Raw genomic sequence first — 24,572 nt, 5'->3', positions numbered from 1 at the left:
TCAAGACCACCCTGGCTAGTACGGTGAAACGCTGTCTCTACTAAAAATATGAAAAATTAGCCAGGCGTGCTGGCGGGCGGCTGTAGTCCCAGTTGCTCAGGAGGCTGAAGCAGGAGAATGGCGTGAACTTGGGAGGCGGAGCCTGCAGTGAGCGGAGATTGCGCCACTGCACTCCAGCCTGGGGGACAGACAGAGTGAGACTCCGTCTCAAAAAAAAAAAGAAAAAGAAAATATCATAATAAAGTGAGTCACACAAAGTTTTTGGTTTCCCAGTACATATAAAAGTAATGTTTACAGTATACTGCAGTCTGTTTAGTTTGCAATTGCATTATATTTTAAAAAGACAAAGTATAGACCTTAATTTACATATACTTTAAATTTTTATTGCCCCCAAAATGTTAACAATTATCTGAACCTTCAGTGAATCATCGTCTTTTTGCTGGCGGATGATCTTGCCTTGATGATTGATGGCTGCTGACTGACAGGTTGGCGGTTGCTGGAAGCTGGGGTGGCTGTGGCAATTCGTTAAAATAAGACAACAATGAAGTTTGCCTCATTGATCAACTCATCCTTTTATGAAAGATTTTCTGCAGCATGAGATGCTGTTTGATAGCGTTTTATCCACAGTAGAATTTCTTTCAAAATTGGAGTTGATCCTCTGAAACCCTGCCACTGCTTCATCATTTAGGTTTATGTAATATTCTAAATACCTCGTTGTCATTTTAACAATGTTCACAGCAGCTTCACCATGGGTAGATTTTATCTCAAGAAACCACTTTCTTTGCTAATGCATAAGAAGCAACGCGTTATCCATTCAAGCTTTATTATGAGGCTGCAGCAACTCCATCTCTTCACACGCTACTTCTAATGCTAGTTCTCTTGGTATTTCCACAGCTGCAACTCCTTCTTCCACTGAAATCTTGAACCCCTCAAATTCATCCCTGAGGGTTGGAATAAACTTCTTCCAAACTCCTATTAATGTTGATATTTTGATCTCCTCCCATGAATCACAAATATTCTTTTTTTTTTTTTTTCAGACGGAGTCTTGCTCTGTCACCCAGGCTGGAGTGCAATGGCACGATCTCGGCTCACTGCAGACCCCGCCTCCTGGGTTCACACCATTCTCCTGCCTCAGCCTCCCAAGTAGCTGAGATTACAGGTGCCCACCACCACGCCCAGCTAATTTTTTTGTATTTTTAGTAGAGACGGGGTTTCACCGTGTTAACCAGGATGGTCTCGATCTCCTGATCTCATGATCCACCTGTCTCGGCCTCCCAAAGTGCTGGGATTACAGGCATGAGCTACCGCACCCGGCCCACAAATATTCTTAATAGTATCTAGAACGGTGAATCCTTTCCAGAAGATTTTCAATTTACTTTGCCCAGATTCATCAGAGGAATCACTGTCTATGGCAGCTATAGCCTTATGAAATGTATTTCTTATTTAAGAAGACTTGAAAGTTAAATGTACTTCTTGATTCATGGGCTGCAGAATGGATGTTGTGTTAAAAGACATGAAAGCAACATTAATCTTGTACATCTCCCTCAGAACTGTTGCATGACCAGAAGCATTGTGAATGAGCAGTAATATTTTGAAAGAAATATTTTTTCTGAATAATATTTCTCAACACTGGGCTTAAAATATTCAGGAAACCATGCTGTAAATGATATGCTGTTATCCAGGCTTGTTGTTCCATTTATAAAGCACAGACAGAATAGATATGGCATAATTCTAGGGGCCCTAAAGTTTTTGGAATGGTAAATGAGTACTGGCTTCTATTTGAAGTCACCACCTACATTAGCCCCTCACAAGAGAGGCAGCCTGTCCTTTGAAGCTTTGAAGCCAGGCATTGACTTCTCTCTAGCTAAGAAAGTCCTAGATGGCTTTTTTTTTTTTAACCTTGAAAATCTGTTGTTTAGTGGAGCCACCTTCATCCGTGATTTTAGCTGGATCTTCTGGATAACTTCAGCTTCTCCATCAGCACTTGCTGCTTCACCTTGCACTTTTGGTGTTATGGAGACAACTTCTTTCTTTAATCCTCATGAACCAATCTCTGCTAGCTTCAAACTTCCTTCTGCAGCTTCCTCACCTCTCTCAGCCTTCACAGAATTGAAGAGAGTTAGGGTCTTGCCCTGGATTAGGCTTTGGTTTAAGGGAATGTTATACAGCTGGTTTGATCTTTATTCAGATCACTCAGACTTTCTCAATATCAGCAATAAGGCTGTTTGGCTTTCTTATCATGTGTGCATTCACTGGAGTCACAGCACTTTTTTTTCTTTGAGACAGAGTCTCACTCTGTTGCCCAGGCTGGAGTGTAGTGGCGCGATCTCGGCTCACTGCAGCCGCCGTCTCTGGGGTTCAAGCAATTCTCGTGCCTCAGCCTCCCGAGTAGCTGGGACTACAGGTGTGTGCCACCACGCCCGGCTAATCTTTTGTATTTTTAGTAGAGACGGGATTTCAGCATGTTAGCCAGGCTGGTCTCGGACTCCTGACCTCAGGTGATCCATCGCCTCGGCCTCCCAAAGTGCTGGGATTACAGGTTTGAGCCACCACGCCCAGCCTCACAGCACTTTTAATTCCCTTGAAGAACCTTTCCTTTGTGTTCACAGCTAGGCTGTTTGGGACAAGAGGCCTAGCTTTTGGCCTATCTCCACTTTCAACATGTCTTCCTCACTAAGTGTAATCATTTCTAGCTTTTGATTTAAAGTGAGAGGTGTGTGTCTTCCTTTCACTGGAACACTTAGAGCCTTTTAAGTGTAACACTTGTAGCATTATGAATTGTCCTTATTTCAATACTATTGTGTCTCAGGAGGCCCGATGAGGAGGAGAGAGATGAGGGAATGACCAGTCAGAACATTTATAGATTAAGTTCTCTGTCTTACATGGTTCATGGAGCCCCGAAACAATTACAAATCACAAATCGCAGATCACTGTAACAGATATAATAATAATGAAAAAGTTTGAAATACTTGAGAATTACCAAAATGTGACACAGAGACACAAAGTGAGCACGTGCTGTTGGAAAAATAGCACCGATAGACTTGCTCAATGCAGGGTTGCCACAAACCTTCGATTTATAAATAACACAACTATCTTCAAAGTTCAATAAAGCAAAGTGCGGGAAAACGAGGTCTGCCTGTACCTTGTTACGGCAGCCAGAGCCAATGAATGCAAGGCCCCGGGGCAATGACTCACCCACATTTTGGGGGAGCCGCAGAGGCATCCGTGGTGTGAGGCCCAGAGCATAGGGGCAGCCTGGGAACAGGGGAGAGCCAGAGAGGGAAGAGAGGTCCACCATTCACCTGCAGCCCAAGGAACCAGGCCAGGTGAGCCCGTGTGCGTGTGAGCGCCCAGTGCTTCTCTATGGCAACAGGGGTGGAAGCTTGCATGGCATGGTGGGTCAGGCTTGAGGCTAGGTGCCATCAGGCCACGTCTGCCGGTGACTTAAGGGCAGGGAACAGCCACCATAGCAGCGGGCCTGGTGGCGGGGTAGGCAAAACAGCATGAAGGCTAAGACTGAGTTCAAGGAGGACCTCCCTCTGAGGCCTCCAAGAATGAGGTTCAGCCCTGTAGGGCTCCTAGAGCATCGTCAGTTGCAGAGGACAGGAGACCATGGCTGAGCCAATCCCAGGCGGCACACAGACCAGGTTCCGCCGGTGTCGTTCTCTTGCCATTTTTCAGAGAATGGGACCATTAAGACGCTAACTTCATTTTTTAAACCACTAGATGTCACCCTTGTGCCACCCCCGTCTATCTGCCAGACCATGCTCTGTGGAGGGCAAAGAGGACAAGGATACACGCCCCAAAGGCCTGTGGAGGCCGGGAGGGCGGCTGGTAGGGACCCCTGGGTCAAGGACCAAGGTTGAGAAGGAGCTAATGGAAAGCGACAGCCTCCTGGATCTGGAGAACACGGCTCTGGATGACTTTCCAATAGTGTTTCTCAACTTTGGCTGCATACCAGGAAAGCTTTAAAAAAACTGATGCCTGGGTCCCACCCTCAAGAACTTCTGTGTGAATTAGTAGAGGATTGGGGTGGGTACTGAGAGTTTTGAAAAATCCCCCAGTAGTTTTAATGTAGAGCCAAGATTAAGATTAAGAACCACAGCCGGGCGTGGTGGCTCATGCCTGTAATACCATTGCTTTGGGAAGCTGAAGTGGGAGGATCCCTTGAGGCCAGGAGTTCGAGACCAGCCCGGAAAAAATAGCCAGACCCCATCTCTACAGAAAAATAAAAATACAATTAGCTGGCCTGGTGGTGCACGCCTGTAGTCCCAGCTCCTCAGGAAGCTGAGGTGGGAGGATCACTTGAGCCCAGGAGGTCGAGGCTGCAGTGAGCTGTGATTACACCATGGCACTCCAGCCTGAGAGACAGAGTGAGACCCTGTCTCTATTATTTAAAAGAAACGATTGAGAACTGCTACTGTAGGCTGTGATTATGAATCCAGATATTGTACATAGAGCAAATATTTATCAATTGAATTGCAGTTGAAATGTACTCTAGAAGTTTGTTTTTATGAGCAAAACTGAATAAAGGAAAGTCAATGGATTTTTTGGAGCAGGGGTCAGAGTGTGGAAATTGAACCCACCACATCATATTTTCCTGTGACTGAATTTAATTTGAAAGGTATCTAACAAACATACATTTTATGTGGCACCCTGTGTGAGTCTCATAATATACTATCACTGTGAAGAGCTCTAATGTTGGAGGAAAATTACCATAGATCGCATCTGCTACCTCCTACCTTTGCATTTGTTAGTTCTGGAGGGTGAAGGTGGTGGAAAAGAGCTATAGAAAGAAAGTTAAGCAATGAAAGCTGTAAAGGGCTTAATACATAGTTGTTAAAATGTGACTTGTTTCGTTCACAGCACTTTTGTGATGTTTTGTCAACCACTGTGGAAGACAGTGTGGTGATTCCTCAAGGATTTAGAACCAGAAATGCCATTTGACCCAGCAATCCCATTACTGGGTATACACCCAAGTGATTATAAATCATTCTATTATAAAAACACATGCACCTGTATATTTATTGCAGCACTATTCACAATAGCAAAGACTTTGAACCAACCCAAATGCCCATCAATGATAGACTGGATAAAGAAAGTGTGGCACATATACACCATGGAACACTATGCAGCCATAAAAAAGAATCAGTTCATGTCTTTTGCAGGGACATGGATGAAGCTAGAAGCTATCATTCTCAGCGAACTATCACAAGAACAGAAAACCAAACACCACATTTTCTCACTCATAAGTGGGAGTTTAACAAGGAGAACACATGGACACAGGGAGGAGAACATCACATACCATGGCCTGTCTGGTGGTGGGGGTTAGGGCAGGGATAGCGTTAGGAGAAATACCTAATGTAGATGACAGGTTGATGGGTGCAGCAAACCACCATGGCACGTGTATACCTATGTAACAAACCTGCACATTCTGCACATGTACCCCAGAACTTAAAGTATAATAAAAAAAAAAAGTGACTTGTTTTTAAAGGTTAGTAAAGAGTCCATTTGAGACTCTTCTTTCTTCTAGAAGGATGCTCATAGACCTCCAATGGCTACTACACTGGGAAAGTTTGGAATGCAGTGACTACAATGAGTAACAACGTTTGATCTTTGTGACATAGTTACCTTGTACTTATCTTGTTGATTGCTAAGAAACCCAAGCAGCTTTGAAGACGACTTGGATTGCTTGAAACCTAAAACATCCATGCAAGGTGAAGGGGACTGACATATTCTTAGTTTCTTGGAAGAGAAAACACAGAGAGATCTTCCAGCCTGTTCTATGTGGCCTATACGATTTTCATAGATCTCATTTCCTTGGCCTTCCAATTCTAAAATCCTCACCCTAATTCCTCTCTTTTCTAGAACACCTGCATCTAAACAGGTATAATAAGATGGTAAATAGACGTGTTGGTGATACTGGAAGCTAGTGCCCTGAAACGGAGAACATTGAGCCTTAAGCATCCCACTTTGTAAAATGAAAGCATGGCTTTCCTCTTCAGGCTTATTACAATGAGGTAAAGCTAGTCCTATGGCCAACACTCATCCATACCCTCTCCAGTCTAAAGAAAAGACTAGAAATTTGAAAAGATTGCCTAAACTCAATGGAATTTGTGAAAATATGGAGTAATTGTGCCTTTAGGGGAGAAAAACTTTATTTTTTCCTCTCCCCTCCCTTCTTAATGGGGCCCGCTCCCCACCCAAGTCAAACTAGGGAGTATTCTGCAAGGACCACTTGCAGAGACCACACATGCCTAAAAGACGGTAGCCTGGCATCCCCTTTGCCCTGTTGGATATCTGTTGGAGCAGTGGATTTGCCAATCTTCAATCTGTGTGAGCAAAGGAAAAAGAAAGAAATAGAGCAATGGCTGGGTGGAAAAAGAAGCTTATAATGGGGTCGCCGACGCTCTCACTCTGTGGTGGGTGAGGATCATGAGTTTTCAATGGGCCATGTGGAAACTGAGAGTCAGCCAGTATCGAGCTTGTCTTGCCAGTGCTCCTCCCTCCTACCTGCAAGTAATCTGGCCAGCAGGGGAGGAGTACCATAGCAATAAGGTATTTTGGAAAGTATTACCTGGGGGCAGAAGGGGAATAGATATTTGGAGGAAGTCAAGTCAAAAAGGTTCTCCCACATAAGAGAATCATGCAGTGAGAAGCCTCAGGGACCTCTGGAAGCACTGAAATAGCTAGGGAAGAAGCGTCAACTGTAGCTGCGAAGTAAAAGTGCTTTTGCCACTTACCCATAATCCTTGCTTTCAGATCCTGATCTTGGAGAACTCCAAAGCATTAGGAGGAAAAGGGAATGGTAATTTAGTTTAGGCAATCTTTTCAAATTTCTAGTCTTTTCTTTGGACTGAAGAGGGTATGGATGAGTGTTGGCCATAGTACTAGCTTTACCTCATTGTAATAAGCCTGAAGAGGAAAACCATGCTTTCATTTTACAAAGTGGGATGCTTAAGGCTCACTGTGCTCCGTTTTGGGGCACTAGCTTCCAGTATCACCAACAAGTCTATTTCCCATAATGAAGGAGAATCAAAAGGGCCTGCTTCCTAGTATGCAAGGCAGTTCTGCACCGGAGAGGGGAAATGCTTTGAATTGAATATAAAAATAAAATTTTAAACTGGACTAACTGGGCTGGACATTTTAACACCACCTGTGGGATCTGCCCAATATGCCATGAAGCAGCAGGAAAGGAGGAGCCAACAGCATTTGTTTGAAGACTGATAGAAGAAAAACAAAATCATTTTGTCTTGTAGTCCACCAAGTACATGATTGTTCAAAAAACTATTTATGAGAGTTTCACACTAGACACAGAACCCAACTTTTCTCCAAGAGAGTTATTATGGAGGAGCAGAGACCTATTGGACTGTCCTATGGAGGAGCAGAGACCTATTGGACTGTGCTATGCTTTCCATATGGTTTCTTTCTGGCTGCAGGCATGCCAGCCTGCATATGTGTCCTTGGGTGGCTGGTCATTTGTTCTAGACCTTTAGTAAGTTATCTGTCCCAAACGACTTGTGACTGAAAGTTTCAACCCTAATGCAAAAAGTCATAGAAAGCATAAACTCCTTTTAAAAAATCTGAATCTGTAGGTAAGTAAGGCAGGAGGGAAGGGAAAACTTGCATGGCAAAATGGAAAAAAAAAGTCATGCAATTTGGTCAGTCACGGTGGCTCACGCCTGTAATCCCAACACTTTGGGAGGCTGAGGCAGGTGGACCACTTGAGGTCAGGGGTTCGAGACCAGCCTGGCCAACATGGTGAAACCCCGTCTCTATTAAAAATACAAAAGTTAGGCCGGGCGCAGTGGCTCACGCCTGTAATCCCAGCACTTTGGGAGGCCAAGGCAGGTGGATCACGAGGTCAGGAGATCAAGACTGTCTTGGTTAACGCAGTGAAACCCCGTCTCTACTAAAAATACACAAAAAATTAGCCGGGTGTGGTGGCGGGCGCCTGTAGTCCCAGCTACTCTGGAGGCTGAGGGAGGAGAATGGCGTGAACCGGGGAGGCGGAGCTTGCAGTGAGCAGAGATCGCGCCACTGCACTCCAGCCTGGACAACAGAGCGAGATTCCCTCTCACAAAAAAAAAAAAAAAAAAAAAAGAATTAGCATGGCATGGTAGTGGGCACCCGTAATCCCAGCTGCTCAGGAGGCTGAGGCAGGAGAATTGCTTGACTTGGGAGGTGGAGGCTGCAGTGAGCAGAGATCGGGCCATTGCACTCCAGCCTGGGCATCACAGCGAGACTCTGTCTCGGAAAAAAACAACAAAGTCACACAATATGATCAGATTTCAATGAATGTTTTCTCCCCTCTTGAGTAGTACTAAATCAATGACTCTCCACATGTGTCATATGCTAGAGATGAAATGTCCAATTTTTTTGCTGGAAACTTGACAAGAGCCTGTTTCTTTGGTCTTTCTGTTGAGTTTTTGAAGGAATCCTGCTTAATAAATTCTCCTTTAGTGAAACTGAATTCTGCTGGCTACAAATGAGAATGCTGAGGGAAACACTATTACATTACCCAGTTTTATTGTCCTTAAAACACTGAAACTCTCTTTTTATTTATTTGTTTATGTGCTATTTATTATCTGTCTCCATCCACTGAAATATAAGCTTCAAAAGAACAGAGACCTTTTTCATTTTGTTCAACTCTTTGTGCTCAGCATCTGGAACTTTTTAAAAGCTGAATTAGGGGTCTACCTTAGAGACTCAGCTTTGGAAAGAGACTTTCCCTGTGGCTGGCACATAGCAGTCTCTCAGTTTATTTTAGGTATTTTTTATTTTTTTAGTGCATGATCTCTCATAAAATGTAGCAAATGATGAGTGTCATGTGAGCATTGCCCAGAAGCAAAGGGCTGCATGTTGATTAATTACAGACAGAAGCTTGAAGGGGGTAGCATCTGAGACAGGTCTTAAAGAAAGAGTATGATTTTGGGTGGAAATAATGGGACAAGGTGTGACCAGTATATACTGTTGTGATCAGGAGCTACACAGACTGGTAAAGCTATTTTTTTTCAACCTAATATGTCCTCCATGCTTGTCCATTCGTTTTCATTTCTTTATTCATTTATTTCATAAATGTGTTCTGAGCACTCTTTTGCTATATTTCATCCATGTGCTAGAACGGAAGACTACAAAGATACTGAAGCTGTATACCTCCTTGGTGTTGCTTTCAGACAGTGGGGAGCAGGTTAAGATACTTTCAACAGAACCCTTCTATAGTAATTCCTACAATAGAGGCTTGAAAAAAAATGCTGGAATTAAGGCATGAACACAGCACAAGGGGAACACAGTTGAGGAATGGCCACCTTTGCTGTGTGAAAATGGGAAAGGCTCTTCCCAAAGCTAAGTCTATAAGGGAGACCTCTAATTTAGCCTTTTTTAAAAAAGGGATTCAAACATACTCCCAGCAGAGGAAATAGCACATTTCTGCTCAAAGGTTTGGAGAAGTGAAAGTGTTTGGAGGTGGCTTAAGGTGTTTAAGAGACATTTCTGGGATAACAGTGCTTGACTTTGATTAATTAGGTGCTAGAATCAGGGAGAGTGGAGGTTTATAGGAGTCTTGAAGATATTGAGATTGGGAAGCTGATAAGTCCATTAAATGAGACGTTTTCAAGCAAAAAGTCTTACATTTTAGTGAAATGCAAAGTTGGAATCCTCTCTGATGGTTTTAGTGATCTGAGTTGCAACCCTTTTAATAAGCCATTTTATGACTCTCTTGTGCTTCTGACATAATAACCATTATTATATTAATTCTAGTATTACATAAATAGCTCTTTCTCTGGTGGTGAAATGAGTTATTTTCTACAACTCAGTAACACTCCCTATCCGTTTTCAGCCCTCTCCAGCCCCTCAATTCGGGTACTTCTTCTCTCAGTTCTATTCCTCCCCTCTCCTAATAACATTGATTTTTCTTCCTTAAAGGCTTTAATCTGATTTTTCCAAATGTTATATGCATACCATTTATTTTGTTCATCCATCCATCCATCCATCCACTCATTCATTCATTTGCTCTCCCAAAGATATTAATGAAAGATCTGCTAAGCCTTGGGGACATACAGAACAATAAGACAAGTTCAGTCACACTCCAGGGCCTCCAGGGTTCATGGGAGAAAAGTATGGAAATGTTGACACCCACCTTTAAGTTGTGTAGGGAAGAGGCGATGATGGGACAGAATGAAATCCCTGATTCTACCAGGGTAAGGTCCGGGGAGTGGTGATCAGGCAGGGGTTCACAGATAAGGTGATGCTTCAGCCAGATCTCTGAGAGGCGTGGGCTTTCACAAGGCAGAGTCTGTGGGAAAAGCATTCTGGGAAGAGGTAGCAGCGGCAGCAAAGTCACAGAAACCCAAATGCTTGAGTTGCTGGGGAAATCCAGGGCAGTTCCTCGTGGGTTTTTCCCTAGCATGCGTTCTATCATCTCTGCTTGCCTCCCTAGCTTCATCTCATTTCCCTCTCCCCTCACTATAAACAACCTCTCCATGCCCCGGCTGAAAACACTGACAGCTGTGGAAGCCTTCACACCATAACCAACACATATTGATATTGTGGGCACACCTGGGAATCGACTAAGCACTATGAAGTTGAGGAGCCAGAGGAAAGGATCACCGCTCAGTGGTTCCCAGTATCTGAACACAGGGTGGCAGTGTCCACCCACCAAGGGGAAAGGCTAATTCACAAGCCTGGTTCCCGGCATTCTCCTGGGAGATCAGGCTCGAATTATCCTGCACGAGGCTGTCTTGCAGTAGCTCAGAATTTTAATGAGGGAGTGGGAAAGCAGATGAGCTTCAAGTGTGACAAATAAAAAAATCTAGTTTTGTTTGGGGAGGAGAAAGAGTGAGTCTGTTTATCTGCACTGGGACCTTGAATCACCAGCCTCTCTCTGTCTGTCTGTCTGTCTCTCTCTTTCTCTCTCATTCTCTCTTGCACACACACACACACACACACACAGAGAGAGAGAGAGAGAGAGAGAGAGAGAGAGAGAGTTTAGATTCTATTTTTCTAGGTTCTATCTTGCCTGTCAAACTTCAGAGATATGTTTTTTAAATTTTATTTTTTAAAGTCTTATTATATTATTATCCTACAAAAATGAATCATCACTAGCAAAGGGTGGACAAGAACTTAGCTAATTCCTGCTAATGCCTTGCTTTCCAGGAACTTTTCCCTTCCATCCATGCTAACTTTTAGGTGCTGTCTTTTCCACTGTGTCCTTTGGTTCTTCTTTAAGACAGCCATTTTTCCAGAAAAATCAGCAGGTCTCTGGCTCTTGGGTTCAACCAGATTTGAGGGATTGATGTAAACACTGTAGAACTTCGTGGGGTTTCTAGGTATCAGTTGCCATCTCTGAAAATGAAGACCTTGGGGAAGTCAAGGTGAATGAGAAAGAGGAAGAATGGCACTATGCTTTATTGAGCAGCTACTGTCAATCTGCACTGTACTAGACAGTAAACTTCAGGTTATTTAGTTCTCAGACACCTTTCCAAAGGCAGAAATATTGTAAGCCCAAGGAAATTATGTGTCATCCTTTATTGGCCTGGCATAAAACATAATTTCATGTCTTCTTGAAATAAAATGAATGAAATGAATGGCTTCAAGTTCCCTTTGATTAAGATGGCCAAGCTGGCCTATGGTTTCATGCCTGAGAGAGGAAGGACAGTTCTCGTGTAAAAAGATAAGGTGGCCGTAGTCTGTCCACCCCGGGAAGCACTGAGGTCAAGGAGACCTGCCACTCTTGCTGAATGTGGCACAGACTCTGCTCACAGTACAGAAACGGTGGATCATATTCACCTGTTAGGGGCCAGTTTCTAAAGTTGGGAGTGGGGAGAGTATCTCTTTCTCTGTTCTAGTGTCCCAGTGCTTCATGTCAAAGCAGACCTAAGCTCTTAATATAATAACAATTGTTACGTTTCTCAGCACAGCAGCCAGAATGATTCTTTTTTTTTTTTTATCATGCCGTGATGTGATCTCAGCTCACTGCAACCTCCGCCTCCCTGGTTCAAGTGATCCTCCTGCCTCAGCCTCCCGAGTAGCTGCGACTACAGGCGTGTGCCACCACGCCCAGCTAATTTTTGTATTTTTAGTAGAGACGGGGTTTCACCGTGTTAGCCAGGATGGTCTCGATCTCCTGACCTCGTGATCTACCCACCTCGGCCTCCCAAAGTGCTGGGATTATAGGCATGAGCCACCAAGCCCAGCCCAGAATGATTCTTTAAATGTAACTTGGATCAGGCTACTTGCTTGCTCAAAACGCTTCAGCGGATCTCCATTTCGTTCATGGTAAAAGCTTAAGTTCTGATGATGACCTACAAGACCCAACAGGATCTGGCCCTTATCACTTCTCTGACCCTCAGCCCCCTCCACTCTCTTTCTTTACTCAGGCCACACTGGGCTTTTCTTGTTTCCCAAATTCCCTCCTGTCCCTCTGCTTTTTCTGGAGTACCTCTCCCAGATGATGACCAGACCGTCTCCCATACCTTTCCAAATTCTGGCTTGAATGTCCTTTTCTCAGTGAAAATAATTGTGACCACCCTATTCAAAATTACAAGCTGTCTGCCCAATCCATTTCAGTTACCCCTTACCTGTTCTATGTTTTCTTTTCTCCTCCCTTCCTTCCTTCCTTCTTTCCTTCCTTCCTTCCTTCTTTTTCTTCCTTCTCTCCTTCTTTCCTTTCTTTCTTCCTTCCTTCCTCTCTCTCTCTTTCTCTCTCTTTCTTTCTCTCTCTCTTTCTCTCTTTCTTTCTTTTTGAGATGGAGTTTCGCTCTTGTTGCCCAGACTGGAGTGCAATGGCACAGTCTCAGCTCACTGTAACCTCTGCCTCCCAAGTTCAAGTGATTCTCCTGCCTCAGCCTCCCAAGTAGCTGGGATTACAGGCATGCACTGCTATGCCAGGTTAATTTTGTATTTTTAGCAGAGATGGGATTTCACCATGTTGGTCAGGCTGGTCACGAACTCCTGACCTCAAGTGATCCCCCAGCCTCGGCCTCCCAAAGTGCTGGAATTATAGGCATGAGTCACTGCACCCGGCCCTATTCTATTTTTCTTTCATTTCATAGCAACCATGACCTTTTAAAAAACATTGAGATAATTCTTATACCAGAAAAATCACCTCTTTGATGTATACCATTCAGTGATTTTTTAGGATATTCACAAAGCTGTGATGATCATCACCACTGTCTAATTCCAGAATATTTTCATCATCCCCCAAAGAATCCCTGAACCCACTAGCACTCCCTCTCCAATGCTTCCTTTGCTCAGCTCCTGAAAACCATTGATTTACTTTCTGTCTTTATGGATCTGACTATTCTGTACATTTTATATAAGTTGAATCACAACATCTGTGGCATTTTGTGCCTGCCTTCTTTCTTGGCATAATGTCTTCAAATTTCATCCAGGTTGTAGGATATATCCAGGTTGTATGGATATATTACACTTTGTTTATTCATTCATCAGTGGATGAACATTCCAGTTTTTTCTCCTTTTTGACTAACATGAATAATGCTGTTATGAATAAATTCTGAGAAGTTTTTATGTGGACATACGTTTTCGATCTTTTGGGTATATGCCTAGGAGTGGAATTGCTGGATCACATAGTAACTCCCTGCTGAACTTTCTGAGGAACTGCCAAAATAGTTTCCAAAGTGGCTGCCCCATTTTACATTCCCACCAGCGACGTACGAGGGTTTTGACTTCTCCACATCCTCGCCACAACTTGTCATTTTCTCTTTGATATCACCACTATAATGGATGTAAAGTAATATCTCATTGTGATTTATAGTATTTTATGTTCTATATAATTTACTTATTTACTATATTTATCTGTCTCTCCCTGCTGGAATGAAAGTTTACAAGGGGAAGAATCTTCGTCACTTTTGTTCATTGACGTTTCCTAGCAATTAAAAGAGTGTCGGCTGGGCGCAGTGGCTCACACTTGTAAACCCAGCACTTTGGGAGGCTGAGGTGGGTGGATCACGAAGTCAGGAGTTCAAGATCAGCCTGGCCAAGATGGTGAAACCCCATCTCTACTAAAAATACAAAAATTAGCCAGGTGTGGTGGCAGGTGCCTGTAATCCCAGCTACTCAGGAGGCTGAAGCAGAGAATTGCTTGAACCCGGGAGGCAGAGGTTGCAGTGAGCCGAGATTGTGCCACTGCCCTCCAGCCTGGGCGACAGAGTAAGACTCCGTCTCAAAAAAAAAGAAAAAAAAAAAAAAGTGTCTGCACGTACCAGGCACGTACTATGGACTGAATGTGTCCTCCAAAAATTCATATGCTGACTTCAAATTATACTACAAGGCTATAGTAACTAAAACAGCATGGTACTGGTATAAAACTAGACACATAGATTAACAGAACAGAATAGAGAACCAAGAAGTAAAGCCATATACTTACAATCAATTGCTCTTTGACAAAGTCAAAAAATATATATGCTAAGGAAATAATACCCTATTCAATAAATAGTGCTGGGAAAATTGGATAGCCATATGGAGAAGAAAGAAACTGGACTCATAACTCTCACCATATACAAAAATTAACTCAAGATGCATTAAAAACCTAAATGTAAGACCTGAAACTATAAAAATTCTAGAAGAAAAGCTAGAAAAATCTCTTCTGAACATTGGCCTAGGCAAATAATTTATGACTAAGTTCTCAAAAGCAAATGGAACAAAGACTAAAGTAGATAAATGGGACTTAATTAAACTAAAAATCTTCTGCATAGCAAAATAAACAATCAACAAAGTAAACAGTTACCCTACAGCAGGGAAAAAGTATTTGCAAACTATGCATCCAACAAAGGACTAATATCTAGAATCTACAAGGAGCTCAAACAACTCCATAAGAAAAAAAAAAACCTCAAACAGCGCTATTAAAAAGTAAGCAAAGGACACAAAGAGATATTTTTAAAAAGAAGACATACAAGCGGCTGACAAATATATTAAAAAATGCTCAACATCACGATCATCAGATAAATGCAAATTAAAACCACAATGAGATAATGAGATACCATCTCACACCAGTCAGAATGGCTATTATCAGAAAGTCAAAAAACAACATGTTGGGAAAGATGTGGAGAAAAGGGAATATTTATACACTGTTGGTGGGAATATAACTTAGTATGACCTTTATGGAAAACAGCATGGAAATTTTTCAAAGAACTAAAAGTCTATCATTCAATTCAGCAATCCCACTACTGGGTATATACCCAAAGGGAAACAAATCATTATATCAAAAAGAGACTGGCACTAGTGTGTTTATCACAGCACTATTCACAATAGCAAAGGTATGGAATTAACCTAAGTGTCCATCTACGGAGGACTGGATGAAGACAATGTTCTATATACATGTATCTCACATTCCATGTAGTATAGTATTTTAGATACGTGTGTGTGTGTGTGTGTGTGTGTGTGTGTGTGTGTGTGTCACGGTGTATATATATACTATAAAAGTTTGGAGGGTGGGAGGGAGGTGAGGGTTGAAAAATCACCTACTGGGTACAATATTCACTATTCTGGTGAATATTCTAAAAATTCTAAGAATTCTGGTGAATCACTAACAGCCCAGACTTCACCACTATGCAATATACACATGTAGGAAATCAGTACTTGTGCCCCCTAAATATCTGAAAATAAAAATTTAATAAAAGAGGAGTTTGAGGCTGCAGCGAACTATGATCATGATACTGCACTCCAGCCCAGGTGGCAGAGTGAGACTCTGTCTCAGATATATATACATTTTATGTCATAGCTTGCAGATGTCTTAAAAGTGTCTTTCCTTAAAGATGTCTTTCAAAGAGCAAAGACTCTTAATCTTTATACAATTCAATTCATTAGTATTTTTCTCTTAATACGTTGTACTTGTTATATTTTTAAAAATTATTTTCCTAATCAATGTCTTTCTCCTGTTCCCCCCACCCACCACACCGCTCTGGAGGTTACATATTTTTGCTTTTACATTTAGGTTTATGATCCGCTTCAAACTAATTTTTGTATGCACATGTGGTTTGAGCTGAGGGTCAATGTCAATGTTTTATATAGATATAAAAATTTTCTCTTTTTGTTGCACAGCCTTTTGTTGAAGATCATTTGACCACATTTTAGTGGGTCTGTTTCTGGACTCTATTATGTGGCATTGATCCATATGTCTGTTTATATACCAATTCCATACTGATTTGATTGCTATAGAGTTATAGTCAATTTTGATATCAGTTCTACCACTTATTTTTTAATTGCTTTGCTATTCTAGGCCTTTTATATTTACATAACAATTTTAGGATTAGATTATCAGTGCCTCTGAAAAGCCTTTTGGGCTTTTGATTGGGAGTGCATTGAATATATAGATTCATTTGAGGAGAATTGACAACTTTACAAAATTGAGACTCCCATTTTAGAAATATTGTATGTATCTTCATTTATTTAGAACTTCTTTAAGTTCTCTCAACAGTACTCTGTATTTATAGTAGGGCTATTATACTTCTTTTATTAAATTAATCCTAAGTAAATTTACATTTATGTTTTTGGTGCTAGTATAAATGAAATTAATTTTTAATTTCATTTACCATTTTTTTATTTCTAGAAGATAAGACAATTGAGTTTTATTAACCTTATATTCTGCAAATTTAATAAATTCACTTTTTAACTCTAGTAATTATTTTTATAATTTATTTGAATTTTATATATAAACAATCACATTTTCTGTAAATGAAGACAGTTTTCCTTCCTTTCAAACATTTGTGCTCTTTGTTTTATTTTATGTATCTTTGCCTTACTGCACTGCTGGAACCTCTTATACAAAATCGAATACAAGTTATAAGAGCAGGTATCCTTGCTTTGTTTCCACTCTTGTGGGAAATATTTAATATTTCACCATTAATTATGTTGGCAGTGGGATTTTTGTAGCTCTTCTTTAATAGATTCCTTCTCTTACTATTTTTCTGAGTTTTGTTTCCATGAAAGTGTATTTGCATTTTCTCAAATGTTTTTCTCTGTATCTGTTGAATAATCAAAAGTGCTTTTTTTCTGTTAATATATTGAATTAATTGATTAATTTTCAAATGTTAATCTAACATGGAATTTCTGGGAAAACCACATCATGGGGAATTATCAGTTTTACACATTATGCTAGTATGTTGTATGTATGTATTTTTTTACATTATGCTAGTCATGAGTAGTTCATTTTGCTAGTTAAGGACTTTTGAGTGTAAAGCCATGAGGCATAGTGGCCTGTAATTCTCTTTTCTCTTCTTTTTTCATCCTTTCTCACCCTCCTCCCTCTTTTCCTCCTCTTCTTCTTTCTACTTTTTTTATTCCTCCTCCTTATTCTTCGTTTCCTCTCTCCCTCTCTCTTCCTCATCCTTTTGCTCTTTCATTTATAATATTCTTATTAGTATTTACTCTTATTGTTATGGAGATCCCAAAGTTGAATGAAGTAACTGTTCCCTCTTCCCTATTTTGCGAAAAATTTTATTTAAGGTGAATTTCCTTATTCATTTGCTGTTTGATATAATTTATCAGTGAAGCAATCTGGGCATAATGTTTTCTTAATAAAAATAATTTTTAATTACAAATTTTATTTTTAATAGACATATGTTTGTTTAGAATTTCTGTTTCATCTTGCATTGTTTTAGCTAATTGCTTTTAAAAATACATTTCCCCATTTCATTTAACTTACTAAATTGAATGCCATAAAGTTGTTCATGATATTTGCTTCATACCCTTTTGAAGTCTGCAGCATCTTTAGTGATAACTCTGCTTTCTTTCCTATATGTTATATGTACTCTTTTGTCTTCTATTGCCTAGTTTAGCTAGAAATTTATCAATTTCATTGATCTCTTCAAAGATACAATTTTTGGCTTTCTTATCTTTCTCCGTTGTTTCTCTCTTTTTCAGTTTGTTGATACCGGTTTTTATCCTTACGCTTTTTTTTTTTTTTAATTTACTTTGGGTTTACTCTGCTTTTCTTTTTCTGGTTCATAAAGGTGGTATGTTAAGAAATTAATTTTAGGCCAGGTGTGGTGGCTCACACCTGTAATCCCAGCACTTTGGGAGGCTGAGACGGGCGGACCACGAGGTCAGGAGATCGAGACCATCCTGGCTAACACGGTGAAACTCCGTCTCTACTAAAAATACAAAAACAAAATTAGTGGGACGTGGTGGCGGGCGCCTGTAGTCCCAGCTACTTGGGAGGCTGAGGCAGGAGAATAGCGTGAACCCGGGAGGCAGAGCTTGCAGTGAGCTGAGATCGCGCCACTGCACTCCAGCCTGGGCGACAGAGCAAGACTCCGTCTCAAAAAAAAAAAAAAAAGAAAAAAGAAAAAAGAAATTAATTTTAGGCACTACTTCTTTTTTAATAGAAGTGTAGAGTGTCATAAATATTTCTTTAAGCATTGCCTTAGCTGTATCATCTAGATTTTGATATATTTGCATTTTCATTTAATTCAAACAGTTTTCTGGTTTCTTTTTTGATTTCTTCTTTGACCCATACATTATTGTAAATCTATAATTTAATGTCAAATATTTGTGGTTTTCTTAGTTACCCTTTTGTTACTTGTGTCTAATTTAATTCTGCTGATGTCGGATAAGTATTCTGGGTAATTTCAATCTTTTAATTTAATAAAACTTATTTTATGACCCCAAATATAGCCAATAATGATAAATATAATATAAAATCTTAAAATTAATATGTATTCTGCAATTATTGGGTCGAGTTTTCTACAGATACCAGTTAGTTCAGAATAGTTCATAATGTTCAGATCGTTTCTCTGCTTACCATTTTACCAGTTGCTGAGTGAGGAATGCCCAAATGTCTTACTCTAATTATGGAGTTGTCAACTTACCCCTTTTGGAGATATATAGTTATTATATTTAAGAGCATCTGTTTGAAAGAAGGGTATTTTTCTATACTAAAAGTAACCAATTTAAATCTTGATTGAGATATGACGGTTCTAATAACTTGATACAGGCACATATACTACACCACTTCCTGATAAATGCTTGAACACAGATTTTAAAAAATAAATAGTTGGTTAATTTATTCCTTTAATGTATTATCCCCTTAGCAAGCTGAAAAACCTTGGGCAACTTTAGGGTGTTGACAGGGTAGTTAAAATATCGGAGCAATGAGTTGTCTAGAGATTTGGGGAATAGCAGATGGTTAAGACTCTGGGCTGAGAGTCAAGAGAAGCACTCTTTCTATCAACCTAGGTGTAATGCTGACTGGTCTGGCAAAAGTCACTCCTTCACTCTGGCTCTCTATTCCCCTTTCTGTAAGATTACGCAGTTGGAATATGGAAGTTTAGGAGTCTTCCAGCACTATCATTCCGTGTCCCTGGCATCTCAAGAATGTGGCCTGCAGGGTGGGGCTTGAGAAGAGGCCAGAGAAGAAGCAACAAACCAAACTTTGTCTACTTCCAAGGCCCAGTTTTGACCCTTAATCTTAGTAGAGACTGCAAGAAGTGGATGGACAGAAGTTCTTAACATTCAATGTCAACTTCTCTTAATATCTATACTAAAAATATTTCATATAACCCAGACATTAGGCTCAGAAGAGACTAAAATCCAAAATTTAATCAATTGAATAAACTCTCCATCTCTAAACCTTGAAAATCAAATTGATGGGATAGGAAAATGACAGCTAAAAAAAACTTGGCAAATGACCTTCTGTCCTTAAGTCTGGATATCTGAGGAATGACTAAGAGTTCATGCCGTGCAAGTCTCAGGTAAGTTTATATGTTAAGGACGATTGCAATAAAATAAGCCATTTATCTTTGTTTAGAACTCTTTTCAAAGCACTTTCTTCTGCAATTAATTTATGCCCATAACAACCCCAGGAAACAATTTCACCATAACTTTGGACAAAGAAACATATTTCATTTAGCTATACCATAGATTTTGAAACAGAAGAAGTCAAATTGGGGCCAATTCTCTTTTAGTCTTTATGTAAATAACTGTGAATTATAAAAAGTAAGTATAAAAATTTATGACATGAATAATGCAGACAGTATAAAATTTATCATATTTTGTTAAATAATATATTGTTTTAATAATGTGACATCTATGTTTTTATATATATGTAAAATTATATATAAAATATAAACATATATAACATATAAAACATAATCTATAACATATTTAATATATATAACATATATAATATATAAAACATATATAATATATAAAACATTATATATAATATATAAAAACAATATATATAAAACATATGAACACATATATATATAAATTACTTTTTATAGTCTCACTCTGTCACCCAGGCTGGAGTGCAATGGCAAGATCTCAGCTCACTGTAACCTCTGCCTTCCGGGTTCAAGCAATTCTCATGCTTCAGCCTCCTGAGTAGCTGGGATTACAGGCATGCACCACCACACCTAGCTGATTTTTATATTTTTAGTAGAGATGGGGTTTCACTATGTTGCCCAGGCTGGTCTTGAACTTCTGGCCTCAAGTGATCTGCCCACCTCATGCCTGACCTCCCAAAGTGCTGGGATTACAGGCATGAGCCACCGTGCCCGGCCGACATCCATATTATGTTAACCAGATGTGTAATGCACTGTATAGCACATTAATGCATTCTGATTATCTTCCTGATTTCTTATATCTATCTCTGCTTCTTTCTTTATCACTCTACTCATATGTGATTTGCTGTGATGTTCCTATTTTATCATTTCTTCCTTTGATTTCTTTACTGTCTCTCTTTTTGCTTTTCTCAATATTCTTTGAATGGTTTCCTGCCCATTCGTTCCTTAAACTCTCTTGCTTTTTCACTGATTATAATATTTTTAAAAAGTAATAAAATGGGTTGTACTTAGTGATTTAGGTTAAAATATCCAGAAATTAACTAAACTATACTTTTTTCATTCCTTTGTCTACCCACACTCTTCTCTCTCAGTCTCTCCCTCTTTATTCTTTTTTCCTCATTGCATCCAGAGTATTACACACACACATACACATACACACACACACATCATAAACAGAATCAGAATAAAGTTATATGTGAAAAATAAAAACAAATAAAATGAAAAGTAGGACAATGGAAAAATTAAAATGCAACTTCAAAATGTTAATTTATTAGTTAATTGATCTTCGACAAAGATACCAAGAACACACATTGAGGAAAGTACAATTTCTTCAATAAATGGTGTTGGGAAAACTGATTATCCACACATGAAGAATGTAATTGGACTCTTATCTCACCCCATACACAAAAATCAGCTCAGAATGAATTAAGGTCTTAAATGTAAGACCTGAAACCGTAAAACCACTAGAAGAAAACAGAGAAAAAGCCTCTTGACATTAATCTGGGGAAAGATTTTTTGAATATGACCCCAAAAGCACAGGCCACAAAAGCAAAAATAGACAAATAGGGTTTCATCAAACTAAAAAGCTTATGCATAGTAAAGGAAATAATTAACAGGGCAAAGAGACAACCCATGGAATGGAAGAAAATATTTGTTAACTGTACATCTGATGAGAGGTTTATATCCAAACTATGTAAGAAATTCATACAATTCAATAGCAAGTAAACAACCAGATTTTTTTTTAAGGGGAGAAGAACTGAAAAGACATTTCTCAAACGAAGACACACAAATGGCCAACAGGTTTGTGAAAAAAATGCTCAGCATCACTAATCATCTGGGAAATGCAAATCAAAGCCACAGTGAGATGCCACCTCACACCTGGGATGGTGATTATGAAGAAAGTTCTTTTAATAGGCAGTGGTTCCAATAAAGCATCAAGGAGATTTGAGGGTTGAGTTAACACACAAGTGAGATATTCATCAAAACACCTTTCGGATGTCTCAGTTCCTTCACCTCTAAAAGGGCAAATAATAATTCCTTTTACTGATGATACTCTTAATGATATGTAAAACTCTTCCACAAAATTTTATGTAGTCACTGCACTTGCCTTTCATAAACAATAGATACTAAGATTAGTTTTTAAGGTAGTTTTCTTAAAATCAGAAGAGAAAATGAAAAGATTTCTAGTTTGACCCTTAATCCAGGGTTGGAAAATAAGAAGTATATTTAGATATGCTTAATGTTCAGTTTTCATATAAGAATCTTCAGAAAAATATTTCTGATTATGCTTGAAGTCATATAAGAGCCCAGTTCTAAAAGGTTTAAGGATTCAGTCTGTGTTGATACACTAGTGGGGAAAATCTATGATTAATGTGCTTAGTGAACACATCATAAGAAATATGTTTCCATGGTTGGTTCTGTTCAATTTTAAATTTTTATGATTTTAAATATTTTAGTTCCTGTAATGTATTTTGGACAAAGAAACATGGACGCTGAAAGGGCCACTCACCAATGCCTACATGACCCTTCTAGAAACCCTGTAGATTATGTTGTGGCACTCACAGAGTTACACTCATGTCTGTGCTCACCTTGCCAGCACCACTGGCCAACATTTCAACAGCACCTGTAACTCTGGGGGCAGAGTGGTATTATGGGTGAAACCACGGACTAGGAATCTGAGGTCTCCTTTTAGTTCTAAATTTATCTGATCTCACCACGAAGCCCCTTTGAAAACCAATGACATTATTTCAAACACAGGGATTCTTGAACCTGGTTGTGCATCAGACTGACCTATGGGCTTTGCTAAACAGGGACCTCATTAAACATGTTAGTTCCTGGGCGCACCGCTCCAGAGATTCTGATTCAGAAAAGCCAGAGAATAGCCAAGATGCGATTTTATTTTTACTGTCTCTGTCAATGGTTCTAATAATAAGTAAATTTAGGAACTGCTGTTTAAATTCTTTTTTAGTTGTAGCAGAATGTACTTTTTACATAACTGTATCTGTTTCCATCATCATATCCCAATATTCATCTTTAACTCTCTATTTTATGTAATGAAACCCTATGGGCAGTTGTGTAAAATAATATTGAAAAAACATCTTATGAATGTATTCAATAATTCATTCAGCAAACATACATAAACTGTCAACTATGCTACACACTGTGAGAGTGCTTAAGATACCACATTGAAGAAAACACAGACTCACAGCCTAGTCAAGGAAACAGGTGTTTAAAAAGAAAAATTACAATTCATAATGCTAAGGGCTGTGATAAAACTTAGCACAAGGTGCTGCTATTACCAGGGTGCAGAGGAGAGAGTTTTACCGAATATGGGAAAGGCAAAAAAAGATTTCCCAGGATACAAGATGCTTAAGTTGAGCCTTGACTAGAAAAGAGAAAGTAGCAGTGAAGGGAGAAATGCATTGAGTATAAAATGCATGATTTCAAAGTCAACTATTTCTACCTTCTGCTTATTTTGGAGTCTAGGAATCCCTGGTTTCTATGGAGAACAAAGACCAAGAGCAGTAGAAGGAGATATTGAAAAACGTTCATCCCCACCAAGATCTGCATTTGTGGTGAAACTGATCGGACCCCTCCCAGTGCCCTTCTAGCCCATTGTCTTCAAGGAAGCCCTTTATAATACTCAGTTCCATTTCCATTTCTCTGGTGAAGGATTCACCTGTACCATCCCTAGTGTGTACCACTTTGGTTTTGAATTTGAGCTGTTTCAGAGCTGTGCAAATGTGGGTATTATGAGGAATGGCATCCATATGAGAAATAAACATGCTGTGGCCAAGGATGGCTATGAGCAGGAACCGCCATATTGCAGCTGGAGTGGTATTGCAGCTGCAGAAGGAGCTGTATTGCAGCTGGAGAAGGAGGACGTGGTCTGGCTGTAGTCTAAGCCATAGGAATTAAAGTCTGAAGAAGGAAATATTCAAACTCTGTTCTTTTTATGTACTCTATGGAAATTAAGAAGGCTGGGGAGTAACAGTACTCTTCCCAGTCTCCAAGAAGACCTGGTATTAAGAGCAAATCTTACTTTCCCAATTCTCTACATAATCCCCCCAGCACTATTGAGCTGCTGCTAAAAAAAAAAATGTTTTGTTTATACAGTGCTATCACTGCAGAGCTGAAAAATACTAACCAAGCTACACATCTATTCTCATTGCTTACTGCTAATTCAAGTCAGTTTTAAATATTAATTATCTCATAAAAGTATGAGCATGGATAATCCCAGTAGTGTAGACAGATGAACTAGCCTGGCTATTCCCTGGGGTTGCCCTTTGTCCCTTTGGACAACTTCTTGTGAATTCTGGTATCAAAAGCTTAGATGCAGCAAGCCTGGCTGTCCTTGCTGTGCCCTCTCCCTGCGATACTGTTACCTCCTCATACTTGTTTACCTTCGACTCCTAACTCTGGATCTGGGGCATATTGCGATGAATATTCCTTGCTTCTGTGAATGTGTGGAAAACTGATGGAACAGTCTGTGCCCTCTCTTCCCAGCTGACCATCTCACCACTCCATTTCCACAATGCTCTTTCCCACATGCCAGCAGCAATGGGGCTTGTCCTCCATCCTTACAACCTCCATATGGGGAATCATGTGGCAGTCTTCATTATTGGAACCACTCACAAATTTTACAAAGATCTGTTAATCTTGGAGATCCTTTCTCTAGTTAGGGAAGTAGAGGTCATGTGGTTATCCCTTCTTTCAACTAGAAAGCAGCGCAATAAAAAGAGTGAGTATCGTGAGTGTGTGTATGTG

The 24,572-nt window shown here is 39.9% G+C and overlaps 1 protein-coding gene across 5 annotated transcripts in view; it reads left to right on the top strand.

Annotated features, from left to right (window-relative positions):
* LARGE1 (LARGE xylosyl- and glucuronyltransferase 1) overlaps positions 1–24,572 on the top strand; it is an 856,162-nt gene that overhangs the window by 708,773 nt on the left and 122,817 nt on the right. The gene's annotated exons all lie outside the window — the stretch shown is intronic.

Source organism: Homo sapiens, chromosome 22, assembly GCF_000001405.40.
Source record: "Homo sapiens chromosome 22, GRCh38.p14 Primary Assembly".
Lineage (NCBI taxonomy): Eukaryota > Metazoa > Chordata > Mammalia > Primates > Hominidae > Homo > Homo sapiens.
This window is presented reverse-complemented; position numbering and strand designations above follow the sequence as displayed.